The following is a 17,869-nucleotide window of genomic DNA, read 5'->3' as shown; positions in this document are numbered from 1 at the left end:
CGGCGCGAACGCCTGCGCCCTTGGCCGGCGCCTGTCTGGGTTCGGTGCGCAACCGACGGACCGCGCGGGGGGAGCGGGCGCCAAGTGAACGGAGCCGGCTGGCGTTGGCGTGGACGCCCCCGCGTCCCCACCCCGGACCCAAAGGGTCCGCGTCGGGCCGGCCGCCGCCGGCGCACGCCCCAGCCCCCGCGCCTCCGCTCGCCGAACCCCGCAGGGCGTGCGCCCACCGCGTCCTAGGAGCAGCGGCCTGACTGTTTCGCCCGCGCCTCCTCCTGCCCCGGCGCGATCCCCGCGTTGGAGACAGCAGGCAGGGCGCGCGGGGAGGTTCCACGCCGCTCCGGTACCTGTCGGGGTCCGGCTCCGGCTCCGGGTCCCAGCGGGATCGCAGGGTGCTTTGTTGGGTGTCGGGGTAGGTCGTGCCAACGGTGGCGGGGGGCGGGTGGCAGGTGACGGGTGGCGTGTGGCGGGTGGCGGGCGGCGGGCGGCGGGTGGAAGGCGAGCACGCGCCCGGCCCCTGCCGTCGGGGGAGGGGATCAAGGCAGGGCTAGGCGTCCGCGGTCGGAGTGGGGTCTGGCGTCCCGGCGACCGTCGCCGTCGTCCTCGTTAGTATAGTGGTGAGTATCCCCGCCTGTCACGCGGGAGACCGGGGTTCGATTCCCCGACGGGGAGGCAGCCGTGCTTTTTGGGCCGCCGCCTCGGACCCAGCCTGTGGGCCCTCCTTCTCCTTCCTCCGCCCTCCAGCTAGTCGCAGGGTGCCATCTCGGGCCTGGCCTGCCTGGCCCTTTGGCCTTCTGGGCCTCCTTGGCCTCCTGTCTTTTCTTCTCGTCCGCGGCTTGGTAGCGGCAGCCGGGAGGCCTCCTCTGGCCCTGCACGGCGCCCAACGAGCTGCCGGCTCAAAGTGGTTGTCGGAAGAGGCTTTCTGCGACACACGGGGCCCTGCGCCCGGTGGGAAGCGTAGGAGTGGGGACCCTGCCGGCGCCGGCCGTTTCCCCCCCGGGCACCTGTTGGGGAAGGGCTCTGGGGGCCCGAGGCGGCGAGTGAGCGAGAGCGCCCCCAGAGGCAGGCGGGCGTAACGGGTCAGCCGCGCTGGCCTTGCACCGGTGGGGCGCGGGGCGGCCTTTGGAGAGGCCGCGGCAGCGCGGAGCTGCGGGCGGGCGGACGGACCGGGCGTCGGGGCCGGCCTGCCCCGGGCGTCGGCGGCGCGCTGGTGGGAGCCCCGGGCCGGCGCGGCGGGGCTGCCCGCGCCGTGCGGCGTTGGTGGTATAGTGGTGAGCATAGTTGCCTTCCAAGCAGTTGACCCGGGCTCGATTCCCGCCCAACGCATCGGGCGGACCTTTTGCGGAGATCCCGCGCGCGGAGCTCGCGTCGCAGCTTGGCCTGTGGCTGCGTGCCTGTGCGCCGGGGAAGGAGGCTTGCGGTGTTTGGAGGGTGTGCTACCTACCTCCACCCATCTGTCCTTTTGGCCTGGCTGACGCCACCTTCGCAACATCGGCTTTGCAGCTCTTCCTTGTCATGTGCTCACCTCGCTGCCACTGTTTCTCAGCGGCCAAGCCCACTGGCCAGGTCAGGCTTTCTCCTCGGATTGTCGCCAGGTGACCCACCACCACCACCAGCAGCACCCTCGCACTCTCTTCTGGCCACGGAATGCTCCAGTAGTGTGGAGCAGAGCGGCTTCCGCCAGTCCAAGCCGGGTGGCTGAGGGGCCACTTCTCTCTCGGCTGAGGGGGATCTACGCCTAATGATTGGGCCACCCGCCAGAGCCACTCATGCCAGCAAGCTCACTGGCTTTTCCAAGGCATGCCAGACCCTGAGCGCGGGATCCCTGATTGGGCTCCACGGGTGTCAGCGGCTTTGGTAGAAATGGCAGCAGAACTTGAGGAGCCGAGACCACGGGCTATGGCGCTGGGGAGGGAGAGCTGTGACAATCACTCTTGTAGCATGACTATGTTTTTCTTCATGCAGACATGATATTGGTGGGATTCCTGTGACATGTGGTGATGCTTGTACATTGCGTAATGATCCATGATCAACTGAGGGGTTGTACAGTATCTGTGGGTATCCATCCAGTGGGTATCTGTCATCTCTACCTGTTGGAAACAACTCATGTGCTGTCTTCCAGCTCTTTGGAAACACACTCTAATACATCGTTGTTACCTCTAGTCGCCCTAGTCTGCCATAGAACTTTAGAACGTATTCCTTCCATCTACCCACATGCTCATACCCATTTCGCCAACCTCTCTTCACCCCAGTCACCTACACAGCCTCTCCAGCCTCTGGTGTCTATCGTTCTACTCTCTACCTCCACAAGGTGAACTTTTTGTGCAGCCACGATAGTAGTGAGAACCTGCCCTCTCTGTCTTTCTGTGCCCGGCTCATTTGATGTTACATCATGACCTCCAGTGTCTGTCATTTTGCTGCCAATGGCAGGATTTCATTCTTTTTTTTTTTTATGGCTGTGTTTGTTAATAATGAGTGTCAACTTGATTGGATTGAAGGATGCAACGTACTCATGCTAGGTGTATCTGTGATGGTGTTGCCAAAGGACATAAACATTTGAGTCAATAGGCTGGGGAAGGCCCACCCATACTTAATCTGGTGCGCACGATCTAATCAGTTGCCAGCCCATATAAAGCAGGCAGAAAGACGTGAAAAGGGGAGAGTGGCTTAGCTTCTCCACCTACATCTCTCTCCCATGCCTGATGCTTCCTGCCCTCTTAACATTGGATTCCAAGTTCTTCTGTTTTGACCCCTGGACTAGCTGCCCTTCCTCCTCATGCTTGCAAACAGTGTATTTTGGGACTTTGTGATTGTGTAAGTTAATACTTAATAAACTTCTATGTGTGTGCGTGTGTGTGTTTGTATGTGTGGATATATATACATATATCACGTTAGTACTTTCCCTCTAGGGAACCCTAACTTGTACAGATTTTGGTACCAGAAGTAGTTCTAGAGGAATAGAATATTAAGGATGGAATTCTCTCATTGGTTTTGAGGTTTCTGGAGTCAGCTACTTAATATGATTAGACCCAATAATGCTAAAGACTCTACTTCTAATGCGATGGAAAACACTGATAGTCCTTGGTGTGAACTGTTTAGAAAGTTATGCAAAACAAATGCATTTGACACTCCTGATTCACCACTTGTGAGAGTCAAGGAGTTTAGTGACTCTATACATAATACCTTTGGACATATGTGGAGAACCAATGAATGTAATGAAGCTGTTTTTTTGCCCCTAAGTTCAGTGGACAAATTGATGAAAGAAAATGATGAACTCAGGGATTCTGTCTTTCAGCTTCAGAAGCAGATACTGAGCCTCAAATCTGCTAAGATTTTCCTGAGTGAGAGTCTTATCTCCTGTAGGGAAACAGCTGAAATTGTGGAAAAACAGACACAAGCTCTTATGTCAGTGGCTGATCTGCAATGAAAGGTGCATGCACAGCCTTGCCAGGTGTCTGCTGTTAAAGTGAGGGCATTGATTGGAAAAGAATGGGACCCTGCACCTTGGAATGGGGATGTGTGGGAGTTACCTGATGAAGCTGGGGACACTGAGCTTGTAAACTCTGATGAACCTTTTTGGCCAGAAGGAACAGCTTCCCCATCCCCAGTAGTGGCAGCATCCCCTCCTTGACCCATGCTGCCATCAGCCTCTCCACCTTTGTCTGAGGAGATAAACCCTGTGCTGCCTGAGGCAACAGTGATGACCTCCTCTGAGGCAGTTGCCAGGCAAAATAATGTTGATTCTCCTTAGGAGCCACTCCCAACACCTCTGTTTGCTTCTAGACCTATAACTAAAGTCCTGGCAGGCTCCTAGAGGTGAGGTTGAAAGTGTGACCCATGAGGAGTTGCACTACATTCAAAAAGAACTGCTTGAGTTCTCTAATTTATATAAACAGAAATCTGGAGAACAGGCATTGGAATGGATATTGAGGGTATGGGATAATGGTGGAAGGAACACAGAGGTGGATCTGGCTGAATTTATTGATTTGGGCCCACTAAGTAGGGACTCTCCATTTAATGTTGCAGCTCAGGGAGTTTAAAAAAAAAAAGGTTCTAATAGCTTATTTGCTTGGTTAGCTGAAATATGGATTAAAAGATGGCCCACTGTTAACAAGCTGGAAATGCCTGATCTCCCTTGGTTTAATGTAGAGGAATGGATCCAAAGGCTTAGGGAGATTGGGATGGTGAGGTGAATTAGTCACTTTCGACCTACTCATCCCAGCTGGGAGGGTCCAGAAGATATACCCTTGCAATTAATGCCTTGTGAAATAGATTTGTGAGGGCAGCACCTGCATCTTTGAAGAGCCCTGTAATTACTCTTCTCTATATGTCAGATCTAACAGTGGGAACTGCAGTCAACCAACTACAAAATTTACTTACAATGGGAATAATTGGATCCCAAGGTGTCAGGGGCCAAGTGGTGGCACTCAGTCGTCAAAGACAAGGTGGGTGTAGCTGCCGTAATGGACAGCAGAGACAAAGCAGCAATCACAATAGTCTGACTCATGTAGAGCTCTGGCATTGGCTAATTAATCACTGTGTTCCTAGAAGTTAAATTGGTAGGAAGCCTACTGAATTTCTACTTAATTTATATAAGGAGAATTCTACATTGAAGGGACAAAAGGCTAATTTGAATGATAAAAACAGAGAATCATGGCCCCTCAATCAATTTCCAGACTTGAGCCAGTTTACAGACCCAGAACCCTTTGAATGAAGGAGAGGCCAGTTCCCCTTGAGGAAGGACCCCACTACATTACCCACAATTTATGCAATGAATCTTTCTCCAATCCTTCCCCAAGTAAATCTCTGGCCTTTTACCAGGGTAACTATGCATTGAGGAAAGATAAATGATCAGATATTTCACGGACTACTGGACTCTGGCTCTGAGCTGACGTTGATTCCAGGGTACCCAAAATGTCGTTGTGGCCCTCCAGTTAAAGTAGGGGCTTATGGAGGTCAGGTAATTAATGGAGTTTTAGCTCAGTCCGACTTATAGTGGATCCAGTGGGTCCCCAGACTCATCCTGTGGTCATTTCCCCAGTGCCAGAATGCATAATTTGCATAGACATACTTAGCAGCTGGCAGAACCCCCACATTGGCTCCCTGACTGGTAAGGCTATTATGGTGGGAAGGCCCAAATGGAGGCCATTAGATCTGCCCCTACCTAGAAAAATAGTAAATAAAAAACAATATCACACCCCTTGATGGTGACATCAAGGACATGAAAGACACAAGGGTGGTGATTCCCACCACATCCCCATTCAACTCTCCCATTTGGCCTTTGCAGAAGACAGATGGATCTTGAAGAATCACAGTGGATTATCATAAGCTTAACCAAGTGGTGACTCCAATTGCAGCTGCTGTACCAGATGTGGTTTCATTGCTTGAGCAAATTAATACATCTCCTGGTACCTGGTATGCAGCCATTGAGTTGGCAAATACCTTTTTCTCCATTCCTGTCCAGAAGGTCCACCAGAAGTGGTTTGCCTTCAGCTGGCAAGGCCAGCAATATACCTCAAGGGTATATCAACTCTCCGGCTTTGTGTCATAATCTTATTCAGAGAGATGTAGATCACTTTTTGCTTCTGCAAGATGTCACACTGGTCCATTACATTGATGACATTATGCTGACTGGATCCAGTGAGCAAGAAGTAGCAAACACACTGGACTTATTCGTGAGACATTTGTGTGCCAAAGGATGGGAAATAAATCCAACTAAAATTCAGGGACCTTCCACCTCAGTAAAATTTCTAGGGGTCCAATGGTGTGGGGCCTGTCAAGATATTCATTCTAAGGTGAAGGATAAGTTGCTGCAGTTGGCCCCTCCTACAACCAAGAAAGAGGCACAACACCTAGTGGGCCTATTTGGATTTTGGAGGTAACATCTTCCTTATTTGGGTGTGTTATTCTGGCCCATTTATCAAATGACCTGAAAGGCTGCCAGTTTTGAGTGGGGTCCAAAACAGGAGAAGGCCCTGCAACAGGTCCAGGCTGCTGCGCAATCTGCTCTGCCACCTGGGCCATATGATCCAGCAGATCCAATGGTGCTTGAGGTGTCAGTGGCAGATAGGGATGCTGTTTGGAGCCTTTGGCAGGCCCCCATAGGTGAATCACAGCAGAGGCCTCTAGGATTTTGGAACAAGGCCCTGCCATCTTCTGCAAATAACTACTCTCCTTTTGAGAGACAGCTCTTGGCCTGTTACTGGGCTTTGGTGGAAACTGAACGTTTGAGTGTGGGTCAAGTCACCATGCGACCTAAACTACCTATCATGAACTGGGTGCTTTCTGACCCATCTAGCCATAAAGTCAGTCATGCACAGCAGCATTCCATCATCCAATCGAAGTGGTATATATGTTATCAGGCCCAAGCTGGTCCTGAAGACACAAGTAAATTACATGAGGAAGTGGCTCAAATGGCCATGGTCTCCACTCCTGCCACCCTGCCTTCTTTCCCCCAGCCTGCACCGATGGCTTCATTGGAAGTTCCCTATGATCAGTTGACAGAGGAAGAGAAGACTAGGGTCTGGTTCACAGATGGTTTTGCTCAATATGCAGACACCACCCAAAAGTTGAAGGGGTGGCCTGCCCCTCCACACCTGTGGGTATTTCTAGTCAGGTGGGATGAGAGACTGAGAAAAGAAATAAGACACAGAGACAAAGTATAGAGAAACAACAGTGGGCCCAGGGGACCAGCGCTCAGCATACCAAGGACCTGCACCGACACCAGTCTCTGGGTTCCCTCAGTTTTTATTGATTATTATCTTCATTATTTCAGCAAAAAGGAATGTAGTAGGAGGGCAGGGTGATAATAAGGGGAAAGGTCAACAACAAACGTGAGCAATAGAATCTATGTCATAATTAAGTTCAAGGGAAGGTACTATGACTGGACGTGCACGTAAGCCAGATTTATGTTTCTCTCCACCCAAACATCTCAGTGGAGTAAAGAATAACAAAGCAGCATTGCTGCAAACATGTCTCACCTCTCACCACAGGGCAGTTTTTCTTTCATCTCAGAATTGAACAAATGTACAACTGGGTTTTATACTGAGACATTCAGTTCCCAGGGGCAGGCAGGAGACTGGCTTTCCGCTATCTCAACTGCAAGAGGCTTTCCTCTTTTACTAATCCACCTCAGCACAGACCCTTTATGGGTGTCGGGCTGGGGGACAGTCAGGTCTTTCTAATCCTGTGAGGCCATATTTTAGACTATCACATGGGGAGAAACCTTGGACAATACCCCGCTTTCAAGGGTGGAGGTCCCTGTGGCTTTCCACAGTGCATTGTGCCCCTGGTTTATTGAGACTAGAGAATGGCGATGACTTTTACCAAGTATACTGCTTGTAAACATTTTGTTAACAAGGCACGTCCTGCACAGTCCTAGATCCCTTAAACCTTGATTTCATACAACACATGTTTTTGTGAGCTCCAGGTTGTGTCAAAGTGGTTGGGTCAAAGTGGCTGGGGCAAAGCTACAAATTAACAACATCTCAGCAAAGCAATTATTTAAAGTACAGGTCTTTTTCAAAATGGAGTGTCTTATGTCTTCCCTTTCTACTTAGACACAGTAACAGTCTGATCTCTCTTTCTTTTCCCCACAAAAGTGGACAACTGGAGCACTACAGCCCCCCTTTCTAGGACACCCCTGAAGGACAGCAGTGAAGAGGAATCTTCCCAGTAAGCAGAACTTTGAGCAGTGCACCTAGTTGTGCACTTTGCATGGAAGGAGAAATGGCCAGATATGTGATTATATACTGATTCATTGGCTGTGGCCAGTGGTTTGGCTGGATGGTCAGGGACTTGGAAGAAGCATGACTGGAAAATTTGTGACAAAGTTGGGGAAGAGGTATGTGGATGAACCTCTCTGCGTGGTCAAAAACTGTGAATACTTTTGTATTCCATGTAGGTGCCCACCAACAGGTGACCTCAGCAGAGGAGGATTTTAATAATCAAGTGGATAGGATGACCCGATCTATGGACACCACTCAGCCTCCTTCCCCAGCCACCCCTGTGATCGCCCAATGGGCCCACGAACAAAGTGGCCATCGTGGCAGGGATGGAGGTTACACATGGGTTCAGCAATATGGACTTCCACTCACCAAGGCTGACCTGGCTACAGCCACTGCTGAGTGCCAAATTTGCCAGCAGCAGACACCAACACTGAGTCCTCAATATGGCACCATTCCTCGGGGTAATCAGCCAGCTACCTGGTGGCAGGTTGATTATATTGGACCTCTCCCATCATGGAAAAGTCAAAGCTTTGTCCTCACTGGAATAGACACTTACTTGGGATATGGGTTTGCCTATCCTGCATGCAATGCTTCTGCCAAGACTACCATCCGTGGACTCATGAAATGCCTTACCCACCATCATGGTATTCCCAACAGCATTGCCTCTGACCAACGCATTCACTTTATGGCAAAAGCAGTGTGGCAGTGGTCTCGTGCCCATGGAATTTACTGGTCTTACCATATTCCCCATCATCCTGAAGCAGCTGGATTGATAGAATGGTGGAATGGCCTTTTGAAGTCACAATTACAATGCCAACTAGGTGACAATACTTTGCAGGCCTGGGGCAAAGTTCTCTAGAAAGCCATGTATGCTCTAAATCAGCATCCAATATATGATAGTGTTTCTCCCATAGCCAGGATTCACGGGTCCAGGAATCAAGGGATGGAAGTAGAAGTGGCACAACTCACCATCACCCATAGTGTTCCACAAGCAAAATTTTTCTTCCTGTTCCCATGACATTACATTCTGCTGGCTTGGAGGTCTTAGTTCCAGGGGGAGGAACACTGCCACCAGGAGACACAAGAATGATTCCATTAAACCGGAAGCTGAGATTGCCACCTAGACACTTTGGGCTCCTCCTACCTTTAAGTCAACAGGCTAAGAAGGGAGTTACAGTGTTGGCTGGGGTGATTGATCCAGACTATCAAGATGAAATCAGTATACTACTCTATAATGGAGGTAAGGAAGAGTATGCATGGAATACAGGAGATCCATTAGGGCATCTCTTAGTATTACCCTGCCCTATGATTATAGTCAATGGGAAACTACAACCGCCCAATCCAGGCAAGACTACAAATGGTCCAGATCCCTCAAGAATGAAAGTTTGGGTCATTCCACCAGGAAAAAAAAACTATGAACTGCTGAGGTGCTTGCTGAAGGCAAAGAGAATACAGAATGAGTAGTAGAAGAGGGTAGTCATCAATACCAGCTATCACCATGTGACCAGCTGCAGAAACGAGGACTGTAATTGTCATGTGTATTTCCTCCTTCTTTTGTTAAAAACATGTTTGTGCATGTATACACTTGTACTAAGAAAATATCATCATTTTATTTCCTTTTTCTTTATCATGTGACATAAGATTTATTGACTTCATATCAGAATTTAAGTATGTTAACTTTGTGTAATAGTATTTGGGTTGGGGATTGGTGCATTTCTGGTTGTACAAAGGATAGTTGTATTATGTTAGGCATAATTATGACCTTATTATTGTCTTTATTTGAAGACTATGTATGATCTCAGAAGACGTGTATGGGTTTGAGTTTACAAGGGGTGTACTTGTGATGGTTAATACTGAGTGTCAACTTGATTGGATTGAAGGATGCAAAGTATTGATCCTGGGTGTGTCTGTGAGGGTGTTGCCAAAGGAGATTAACATTTGAGCCAGTGGGTTAGGGAAGGCAGACCCACCCTTAATCTGGTCAGCACAATCTAATCAGCTGCCAGTGAATATAAAGCAGGCAGAAAAATGTGAAAACGTGAGACGGGCCTAGCCTCTCAGCCTAGATCTTTCTCCCGTGCTGGATGCTTCCTGCCCTCAAATATCTGACTCCAAGTTCTTCAGTTTTGAGACTCAGACTGACTCTCCTTTCTCTTCAAGGTTGCAGACAGCCTATTTTGGGAATTTGTGATCGTGTAAGTTAATACTTAATAAACTCTCTCTCTCTATGTATATATAATTTATTATATAATTATATAATAAACTCCATATATATTAGCCATTGTCCCCTAGAGGGAGAGAACTAATATGAGCTATATATGTATATATATATGGAGTTTATTATATAATTATATATTATAAAATATATATTTATAATATATTTTATAAATAATATATAATATATTTTCTAAATAATATATAATATATTTATATATAATATATTTTATATATAATATATAACATATAATAAATATATATCATATAAATTATGTAATATGATATATATAATATATAATTAATTCTCTCTCTCTGTCTCGCTCTCTTCTATTAGTTCTGTCCCTCTAGGGAACTCTGACTAATACAATAGCCAAATAGTATTCCATGGTGTATATATGCCACATTTTCTTTATCTTTTTCGCGGCTGATGGACATTTAGGTTGATTCGATATTTCTGTCATTGTGAATAGTACGGCATTAAACATGGGGGCGCAGGTATCTGTCTGATATCCGGATTTCCTTTGCGTTGGATAAATACTCAGCTGTGAGTTTCCTGGATTCTACAGAAGTTGTACCTTTGTTTGCTTTTCTTTCTTTCTTTCTTTCTTTCTTTCTTTCTTTCTTTCTTTCTTTCTTTCTTTCTATCTTTCTTTCTTCCTTTCTTTCTTTCTCTTTCTCTTTCTTTCTTTCTTTTTCTTTCTTTCTTTTCTCTCTCTCTTTCTTTCTTTTTTTTGACGGAGTCTTGCTCCAGCCCAGACTGGAGTGCAATGGCATGATCCTGGCTCACTGCAACTTCTGCCTCCCAGGTTCAAGCGATCCTCCTGCCTCAGCCTCCCAAGTAGCTGAGCTTACAGGCATGCACCACCACACCTGGCTAATTTTTTTGTCTTTCTAGTAGAGACGCAGTTTCACCATGTTGGCCAGGCTGGTCTCAAATTCCTGACCTCAGGTGATCCACCTATCTTGGCCTCCCAAAGTGTTGGGATTACAGGGGTGAGCCACCATGCCCAGCCTGCTTTTCTTGAGAAATTTCTATGCTGTTTTTTTTATGGTGAGTGTACTTATTTACTTTTCTGCCAACGGTGTCTAAGACCCACCTTTTTTCTGCCTCATCATCTGGATTTGTTAGGTTTTGGGGTGTTTTCTTTTGTCTGTTAAATAATGTCTCTTCTAACTGGGGTAAGATGATATCTCATTGTGGTTTTGATTTGTATTTTTCTGACCACTTGTGATGTTGAGCATTTTCTTCATACAACTGTTGGTTGACCATTCCCATGTCTTTTTTTTGGGAAATGTCCTTTGCCTACTTTCTAATGGGATTATATTGGGGGCATGTGTGTGTGTGTGTGTGTGTGTGTGTGTGTGTGTGTGTGTTTGCTTACTGCCAACATGTTCGAGTTGCTTGCCTATTCTGGATGTATAAAATGAATCTTTAGAGATCCAGCTAGTTAGAACACTCTGGCAGCAAGGGTGGAAATGTGGAGTTAAAGGAATCAGTGGGTGAAACACAGCAGCTAAGCTGACTAAAGAGCTTTTGGTGGTTGGGTGTCAGGATAGAGTTCTAGCTGATGGTCTCAATCTCATCTCAAAATAACAAGAAACACACTGAGAATGCCCCTATATTCTGTGCCCAGATTTGATCTCTAAATTTTCCCATTTTCTCTTTCCCACAGATCAGCTCTGCTCTTCATCCGTTTGTTCATTTCTGTATAGATCTTATTGTGAGTCTTATGGCTTCCCCCAAAGGAAACTGCAGAGCTCTGTCTACTTCACCCTACAGCTTCTGTGCATATCAGGAAAGATATTTTCATATATGTTCTCTACACTGACATTTGGCTGTACATTTGTTCTTATACCACTGCAATCGTGCCTCTCTAATTTTGATTTCACAGAGTATGCACCATTCCCATTCTTTTCTTGCCAGCCTATGCCTCTTCCTGGCATGATCCTTCTGTTTATAAACAGTGTTCATCGCTAGTCTGATCTGCATTCTCAGCCCTTTTGAGCTCTACTTAAAGTGGTAGTAGGCAATTACTTTGCCATTCAAGTAGCTGAGCCAGTGTTCATGGATTACTGCAGTTACACCCCTTTTAGGTCATGCAACTACCATGTCTCACTTTTTTTTTCAAATAATTATTTATGAGGACCTCTTAAGAAAGGTTAAGGGGAAAAAAAAAGTCTTCCAACTCTGTGGATCCAGAGCCTCTTCGATGTCTCTCAAAGTTTCTAGCAAATCTCGCCACTGGAACTTTTAACAGAAATGTTTCAATCAAACCAATAAGTATACTGGAGACATAGAAGTCTTCCATCTGGGGCTGCTTGACCATCAAGCCAGAGAATAACATCCTATTATTTTCCATTTTATAAAGTTCATTTTGACCTGGTCTTTTACATAGAGTCAACTAAATTGTTGCTATTTGAAAGACTTAACTGTATTGACTTACAATATTGGGTGTGACACTGTTTTCTCAGCCTAAGTGAGATGTATGGGTGGCCTGGGTTTCTGTAATAGAAACCTCTGAACATGTCATGGAAGCTACTGGTAGAAATTATTAGAGGGTTTCATAAAAATTGTCCAGACTGTAGAAAACTTCAAAAAGTTAACAGCTTTGCAAATGCCAAAGATTTGCGGGAATTACATTCATTACTACAATTGATTTTCTTGAGTCAAAATAACTGATAGATCTGGTGCATGTTTCAGTGTAAAACTTAAATATAATCGAACTAATCATAAATTAGTGATTCCCTATGAAAAGCCATGACCCATCAGGGATGCTTTTGATTGTTTGGAGCGGAGGGGTGCTTATTTGTTCAACTTGCTCAATCTCTTGTGTCCCAGATGTCTTTGTACCTTCCCATGGGATATTTAGTACTTTCCCATGGGCTATTTAAGCTTGAGAATCATATTCTGGGAGTGCTTCAGAGCTCACTTCCACACTTAACTTACCTCTTTGAACAAACACTTAGCATGTAGGTTTGAAATTCAGAAAGAAGTGATGTAACTGGGCTTCAAAAAACTACCGATTTAAGGACATCAAGCTGACTTCCTAAGTGTGTATCTCTAGTTCAAATCAGCAATGAGCTATTCTCCCAACACTCACTACACCCTTTCTCCATTCCCCATTTCCTCAAGCCAATAGTTAATTTGATTTTACTCGTGTCTGGGTCTCGACTTTGGGAGCCAATTGCTTTCTGCTGCTGCTAAGAAACTGGGGAGGAAGCAAGCAAGTATCTGAATGTCACATAGCAGGAATGGTTTCATGTTGTAGGTTTTAGAATTACCCAACTCAGACCTAGACTTGCAGTCACGTAGTAGTGAACCAGAACTCTAGGTAGCGAAATCGTCATGTGTTTACCTAAATATCTATAAATATGATCTACAAGAACAGGCCATTCGTGTCAGTCTCTGTGGCGCAATCGGTTAGCGCGTTCGGCTGTTAACCGAAAGGTTGGTGGTTCGAGCCCACCCAGGGACGGCTGAAATTTTAGATTCCAATTCCTTTGTTACTATTTTTCTCCATTCTTCTTTTCAGATCCAGAAGTTCTACTTCTAACCTAAAATCCTACACAATGGTTGCTTTGTAAAACACGTTTCATAACATCCTCCACCCTACACGTTTAGAGGTCCTCTAGTACTGAACTAGAGGCTCCTGTACTTTTCCCTCCAGAAACAAATCCTTTGAGAGCTGCTTTCCTGCAGAACCTCGCAGCCAGCAAGACTTTGCAGGTGAGTGCTAGTACTAAGGAAAACAAGTATGGCTCTCTCGCTCAATTAATTCCCACAGCAGATGCTAAAGAGCTGGAGAAACCCAATGACCTCTCTGAAATTTTAAAGGGTGCAGGGCAGCAAAACTCCACCTCCATTCTCTTAGGGTCCCGACTGCACCTGAGAATTACGTTAATAGACTATAGATCGAATTTCTTTAATACAAGTTTTACGTGGCACGGGAACACTTATGAGGAAATGGAGATGAGAAGAAGCAGTTAGAGTTAGTAATTTATATACTAAATTGGATGAAGAGCAGTAAGTTGTGAAGAAGCAACTAAACTATGTGGAAAGGCTTAAAAAATAAGAGTTGTTTTTACAAGATCTCTGTAGAAAAGTGCCTTTAAAAATTTAAATATTTTAAGTTAAAAACTTAAATAGTTTCTGGCCGGACGCGGTAGCTCACGCCTGTAATCCCAGCACTTTGGGAGGCAGAGGCGGGTGGATCACGAGGTCAGGAGATCGAGACCATCCTGGCTAACACAGTGAAACCCCGTCTCTACTAAAAATAGAAAAAATTAGCCGGGCATGGTGGGGGGCGCCTGTTGTCCCAGCTACTCAGGAGGCTGAGGTAGGAGAATCGTTTGAACCTGGGAGGCGGAGGTTGCAGTGAGCTGAGATCATGCCACTGCACTCCAGCGTGGGCGACAGAGCAAGACTCCGTCTCAAAAAAAAAAAAAAAAAAAAAAAACTTAGTTTCTGATGGTATCTGATTCAAATTATGGGCCTGGAGGACATAATAGGTGATAGAGGTGGGTCTTGAAATAAGTTGGCATTTCCTTGCCATGTAACTGTCTCAGATGTTATCATAAAGAATCCTCAAACAAGAGAATTTCAACTTGTTCATATAGGAAGAAAGGGGGCTCTTTTGCTAGTAAGGGAGGCTCAGGGAGATTTGTAGGTTCAAAGCACTCAGATTCATAATAATCTGCTCAACTGTCTCATTTCCATTCCCACTGTTGATGAATACACCAAATGTCACAGAAGAGGCATGCTCAGACTATGAATTTAACTTGGGTTTTAGTTTTTTAACCTGCAGGATCCAATTTTAGGTTCATATCTTGGCTATTCAAGATATACACACACATATCCTATTTTTTCTGTTTTGTCTGTAACTATGGAACTCTTACTGGATAGAAAGTGGTATACAGATCATGGGAATGTGAATAGTTACAACCACTTTGGAAAGCTATTTGGACATACCTGCCACAGCTGAACATATGTATGCATGTTTCAGTAATTTTTTCTGAGGTATATACCTAAGAGAAAACAGTATAACTATATAGATATAGAGGTAAAGATAGATAAATGGGCAGATAGTCTCCAAAATATATGTACAAAATTTTTCAAGAAACCATTATTTAAAATGTTATTTAGTATAACATAAACTGTACATATTTAAAGTATACAAAATGATGTTTTGACGTATGTATACACCAGTGAATCCAACACTATCATTAAGATAGTGAGCATATAGGCCGGGTGTGGTGGCCTATGCCTGTAATCCCAACACTTTGGGAGGCCAAGGTGGGTGGATCACCTGAGGTCAGGAGTTTGAGACCAGCCTGACCAACATGGTGAAACCCCATATCTACTAAAAATACGAACATCAGCCGGGCATGGTGGCACGTGCTTGTAATCCCAGCTACTTGGGAGGCTGAGACAGGAGAATCACTTGAACCTGGCAGGTGGAAGTTGCAGTAAGTCAAGATTGCACCATTGCACTCCAGCCTGGGCAACAAGAGCAAAACTCCGTCTCAAAAAAAAAAAAAAAAAAAAATATATATATATATATATATATATATATATATATAGTGAGCATCTCCATCACCCCCAAGCAGTTTCCCTATAGCCTTTTGTAATTCCATAATTCCACCCTCCTGCTCCTTACCACCTCACACTCCCTCTTACCCGCCCATCCCCAAGCCAACCACTGATCTGCTTTTTGTCAATATAGATAAGTTGGCATTGCCTAGAGTTTTATGTAAATGAAATCATACAGCATGTCCTCTTTTTTGTTTCGTATGATCTCTCAGTCCATTCAGGTGCTATAACAAAATGCCATAGACTGGGTGGCTTATAAGCAACAAAAATTATTTCTCATGGTTCTGGAAGTTGGGAGGTCCAAGATCAAGGTGCTTGCACATGTGGTTTCTGGTGAGGGCCTGTTTTCTCACAGAAAGCAGTCTTTTAAGAAGCCTCACATGGTGAGGGTCTCTTTTATAAGGACACTAATCCTATTAATGAAGGCTCCACCTTCATGACCTAATTATCTCCCCAAAGCCCCACCTCATAATATCATAACCTTGGGAGTTAGAATTTTAACATATGAACTTGGGGTGTGTGTGCAAACATTCAGTCCACTGCATATAGTCTGTCTCTTTAATTTTAGACATTCTAATTTATGTGTAGTGGTATCTTCACACCCACTAGGATGGCTATAATTTTTAAAACAACAGAAAATATAAAGCATAGGCAGAAATGTGAAGAAAAATGAAGCCATCTTAAACAAATTCAGTGGCATTAAGTATGTTCACACGGTTATGCAACCACCATCTCAATCTAGTTCCAAAACATTTTCATCAAAAGAAAGTAAAACCCCATATCATTATGTGATTACTCCACATTCCCCAGCCCCTGGCAGCCATTACTCTGCTTTCTGTTCCTATAGATTTACCTATGCTGGTGGGAATATAAGTGACTTAGTAATTCCACTACTAAATAGATAACCCCAAAAAATAAAAAACAGATGCTCAAACAAATGCTTGTACATAAATGTTCATAGCAGCATTATTCACAACAGCCAAAAGGTGGAAACAACCAAAATGCCCATCAACAGATGAATGGATAAAGGAAATGTGGTATATACATAAAATGTTATTTAGCCATAAGAAGAAATGAAGTACATACTATGACATGAATGAACCCAAAAATATTATGCCAAGTGAGAGAAGCCAGACAAAATGTGACACATTATGTGATTTCATTTCTATGAAATGTGTAGAATAGGTAAATCCATTTCAGGTTCCAGGAAACAGAGCAAGGCCTCAAAGATGGGTGCAGCTCCAGGTAGGCAAGTCTCCCAGGCTCTGACTGCTCCTCCCTCTGCACTGGTGAGGGGCATATTTAGAGATCAGGAATAGGATCCTTTGGGGAGGGGGGCAAAAAGACACATTTTTTCTCAATCAACCGTGGGGAAACTATATAAGTGAAGGAGATGCAGATTTTAGGAGGAAGAAAGAAAAAGGGAGGGAGGCAGGAAGGGAGATGAGAAACTCCCATGTCAGAGGGAGTCCGTGACAAAAATGATTTGGGAAATATTTTTCTCTTCCCCAGCTTGACTTATGACAATCTTTCTTCCAACGTTTCTGCCCCTAAAGCCTTCTGCCACCCTCTGGCCCAGGCAGCAGTCACTGCATCCAGTACTATACACATCATTGCAAAATATTCTTAAAGACATTCCTATAGGTTTCTTTTTTTTTTTTTTTTAATTGATCATTCTTGGGTGTTTCTCGCAGAGGGGGATTTGGCAAGGTCACAGGACAATAGTGGAGGGAAGGTCAGCAGATAAACAAGTGAACAAAGGTCTCTGGTTTTCCTAGGCAGAGGACCCTGCGGCCTTCCGCAGTGTTTGTGTCCCTGGGTACTTGAGATTAGGGAGTGGTGATGACTCTTAAGGAGCATGCTGCCTTCAAGCATCTGTTTAACAAAGCACATCTTGCACCGCCCTTAATCCATTCAACCCTGAGTGGATACAGCACATGTTTCAGATAGCACAGGGTTGGGGGTAAGGTCACAGATCAACAGCATCCCAAGGCAGAAGAATTTTTCTTAGTACAGAACAAAATGAAAAGTCTCCCACGTCTACCTCTTTCTACACAGACACGGCAACCATCCGATTTCTCAATCTTTTCCCCACCTTTCCCCCCTTTCTATTCCACAAAACCGCCATTGTCATCATGGCCCGTTCTCAATGAGCTGTTGGGTACACCTCCCAGACGGGGTGGTGGCCGGGCAGAGGGGCTCCTCACTTCCCAGTAGGGGCGGCCGGGCAGAGGCGCCCCTCACCTCCCGGACGGGGCGGCTGGCCGGGTGGGGGGCTGACCCCCCCACCTCCCTCCCGGACGGGGCGGCTGGCCGGGCGGGGGCTGACCCCCCCACC

The 17,869-nt window shown here is 45.7% G+C and overlaps 3 non-coding genes across 3 annotated transcripts, besides 2 other annotated features; all 3 read left to right on the top strand.

Moving 5' to 3' along the window:
- On the top strand, positions 598-669 carry TRD-GTC2-1 (tRNA-Asp (anticodon GTC) 2-1). Its single transcript has one exon. It is a non-coding gene; the product is annotated as a tRNA-Asp (tRNA).
- Positions 934-1,173: a silencer, noted in NCBI's record as "silent region_1480". NCBI's record gives its function as "represses an Ori minimal core promoter by ATAC-STARR-seq in GM12878 lymphoblastoid cells {active_cell/tissue: GM12878}" and the evidence as "EXISTENCE:reporter gene assay evidence [ECO:0000049][PMID:35858748]".
- On the top strand, positions 1,252-1,323 carry TRG-TCC4-1 (tRNA-Gly (anticodon TCC) 4-1). The gene has a single exon. It is a non-coding gene; the product is annotated as a tRNA-Gly (tRNA).
- Positions 12,988-13,037: an enhancer, noted in NCBI's record as "active region_1991". NCBI's record gives its function as "activates an Ori minimal core promoter by ATAC-STARR-seq in GM12878 lymphoblastoid cells {active_cell/tissue: GM12878}" and the evidence as "EXISTENCE:reporter gene assay evidence [ECO:0000049][PMID:35858748]".
- Positions 13,344-13,417, top strand: TRN-GTT2-2 (tRNA-Asn (anticodon GTT) 2-2). Its single transcript has one exon. It is a non-coding gene; the product is annotated as a tRNA-Asn (tRNA).
- The last annotated feature ends 4,452 nt before the right edge of the window (positions 13,418-17,869 follow it).

This window comes from Homo sapiens, chromosome 1 (genome assembly GCF_000001405.40).
Source record: "Homo sapiens chromosome 1, GRCh38.p14 Primary Assembly".
Taxonomy (NCBI): Eukaryota; Metazoa; Chordata; class Mammalia; order Primates; family Hominidae; genus Homo; species Homo sapiens.
This window is presented reverse-complemented; position numbering and strand designations above follow the sequence as displayed.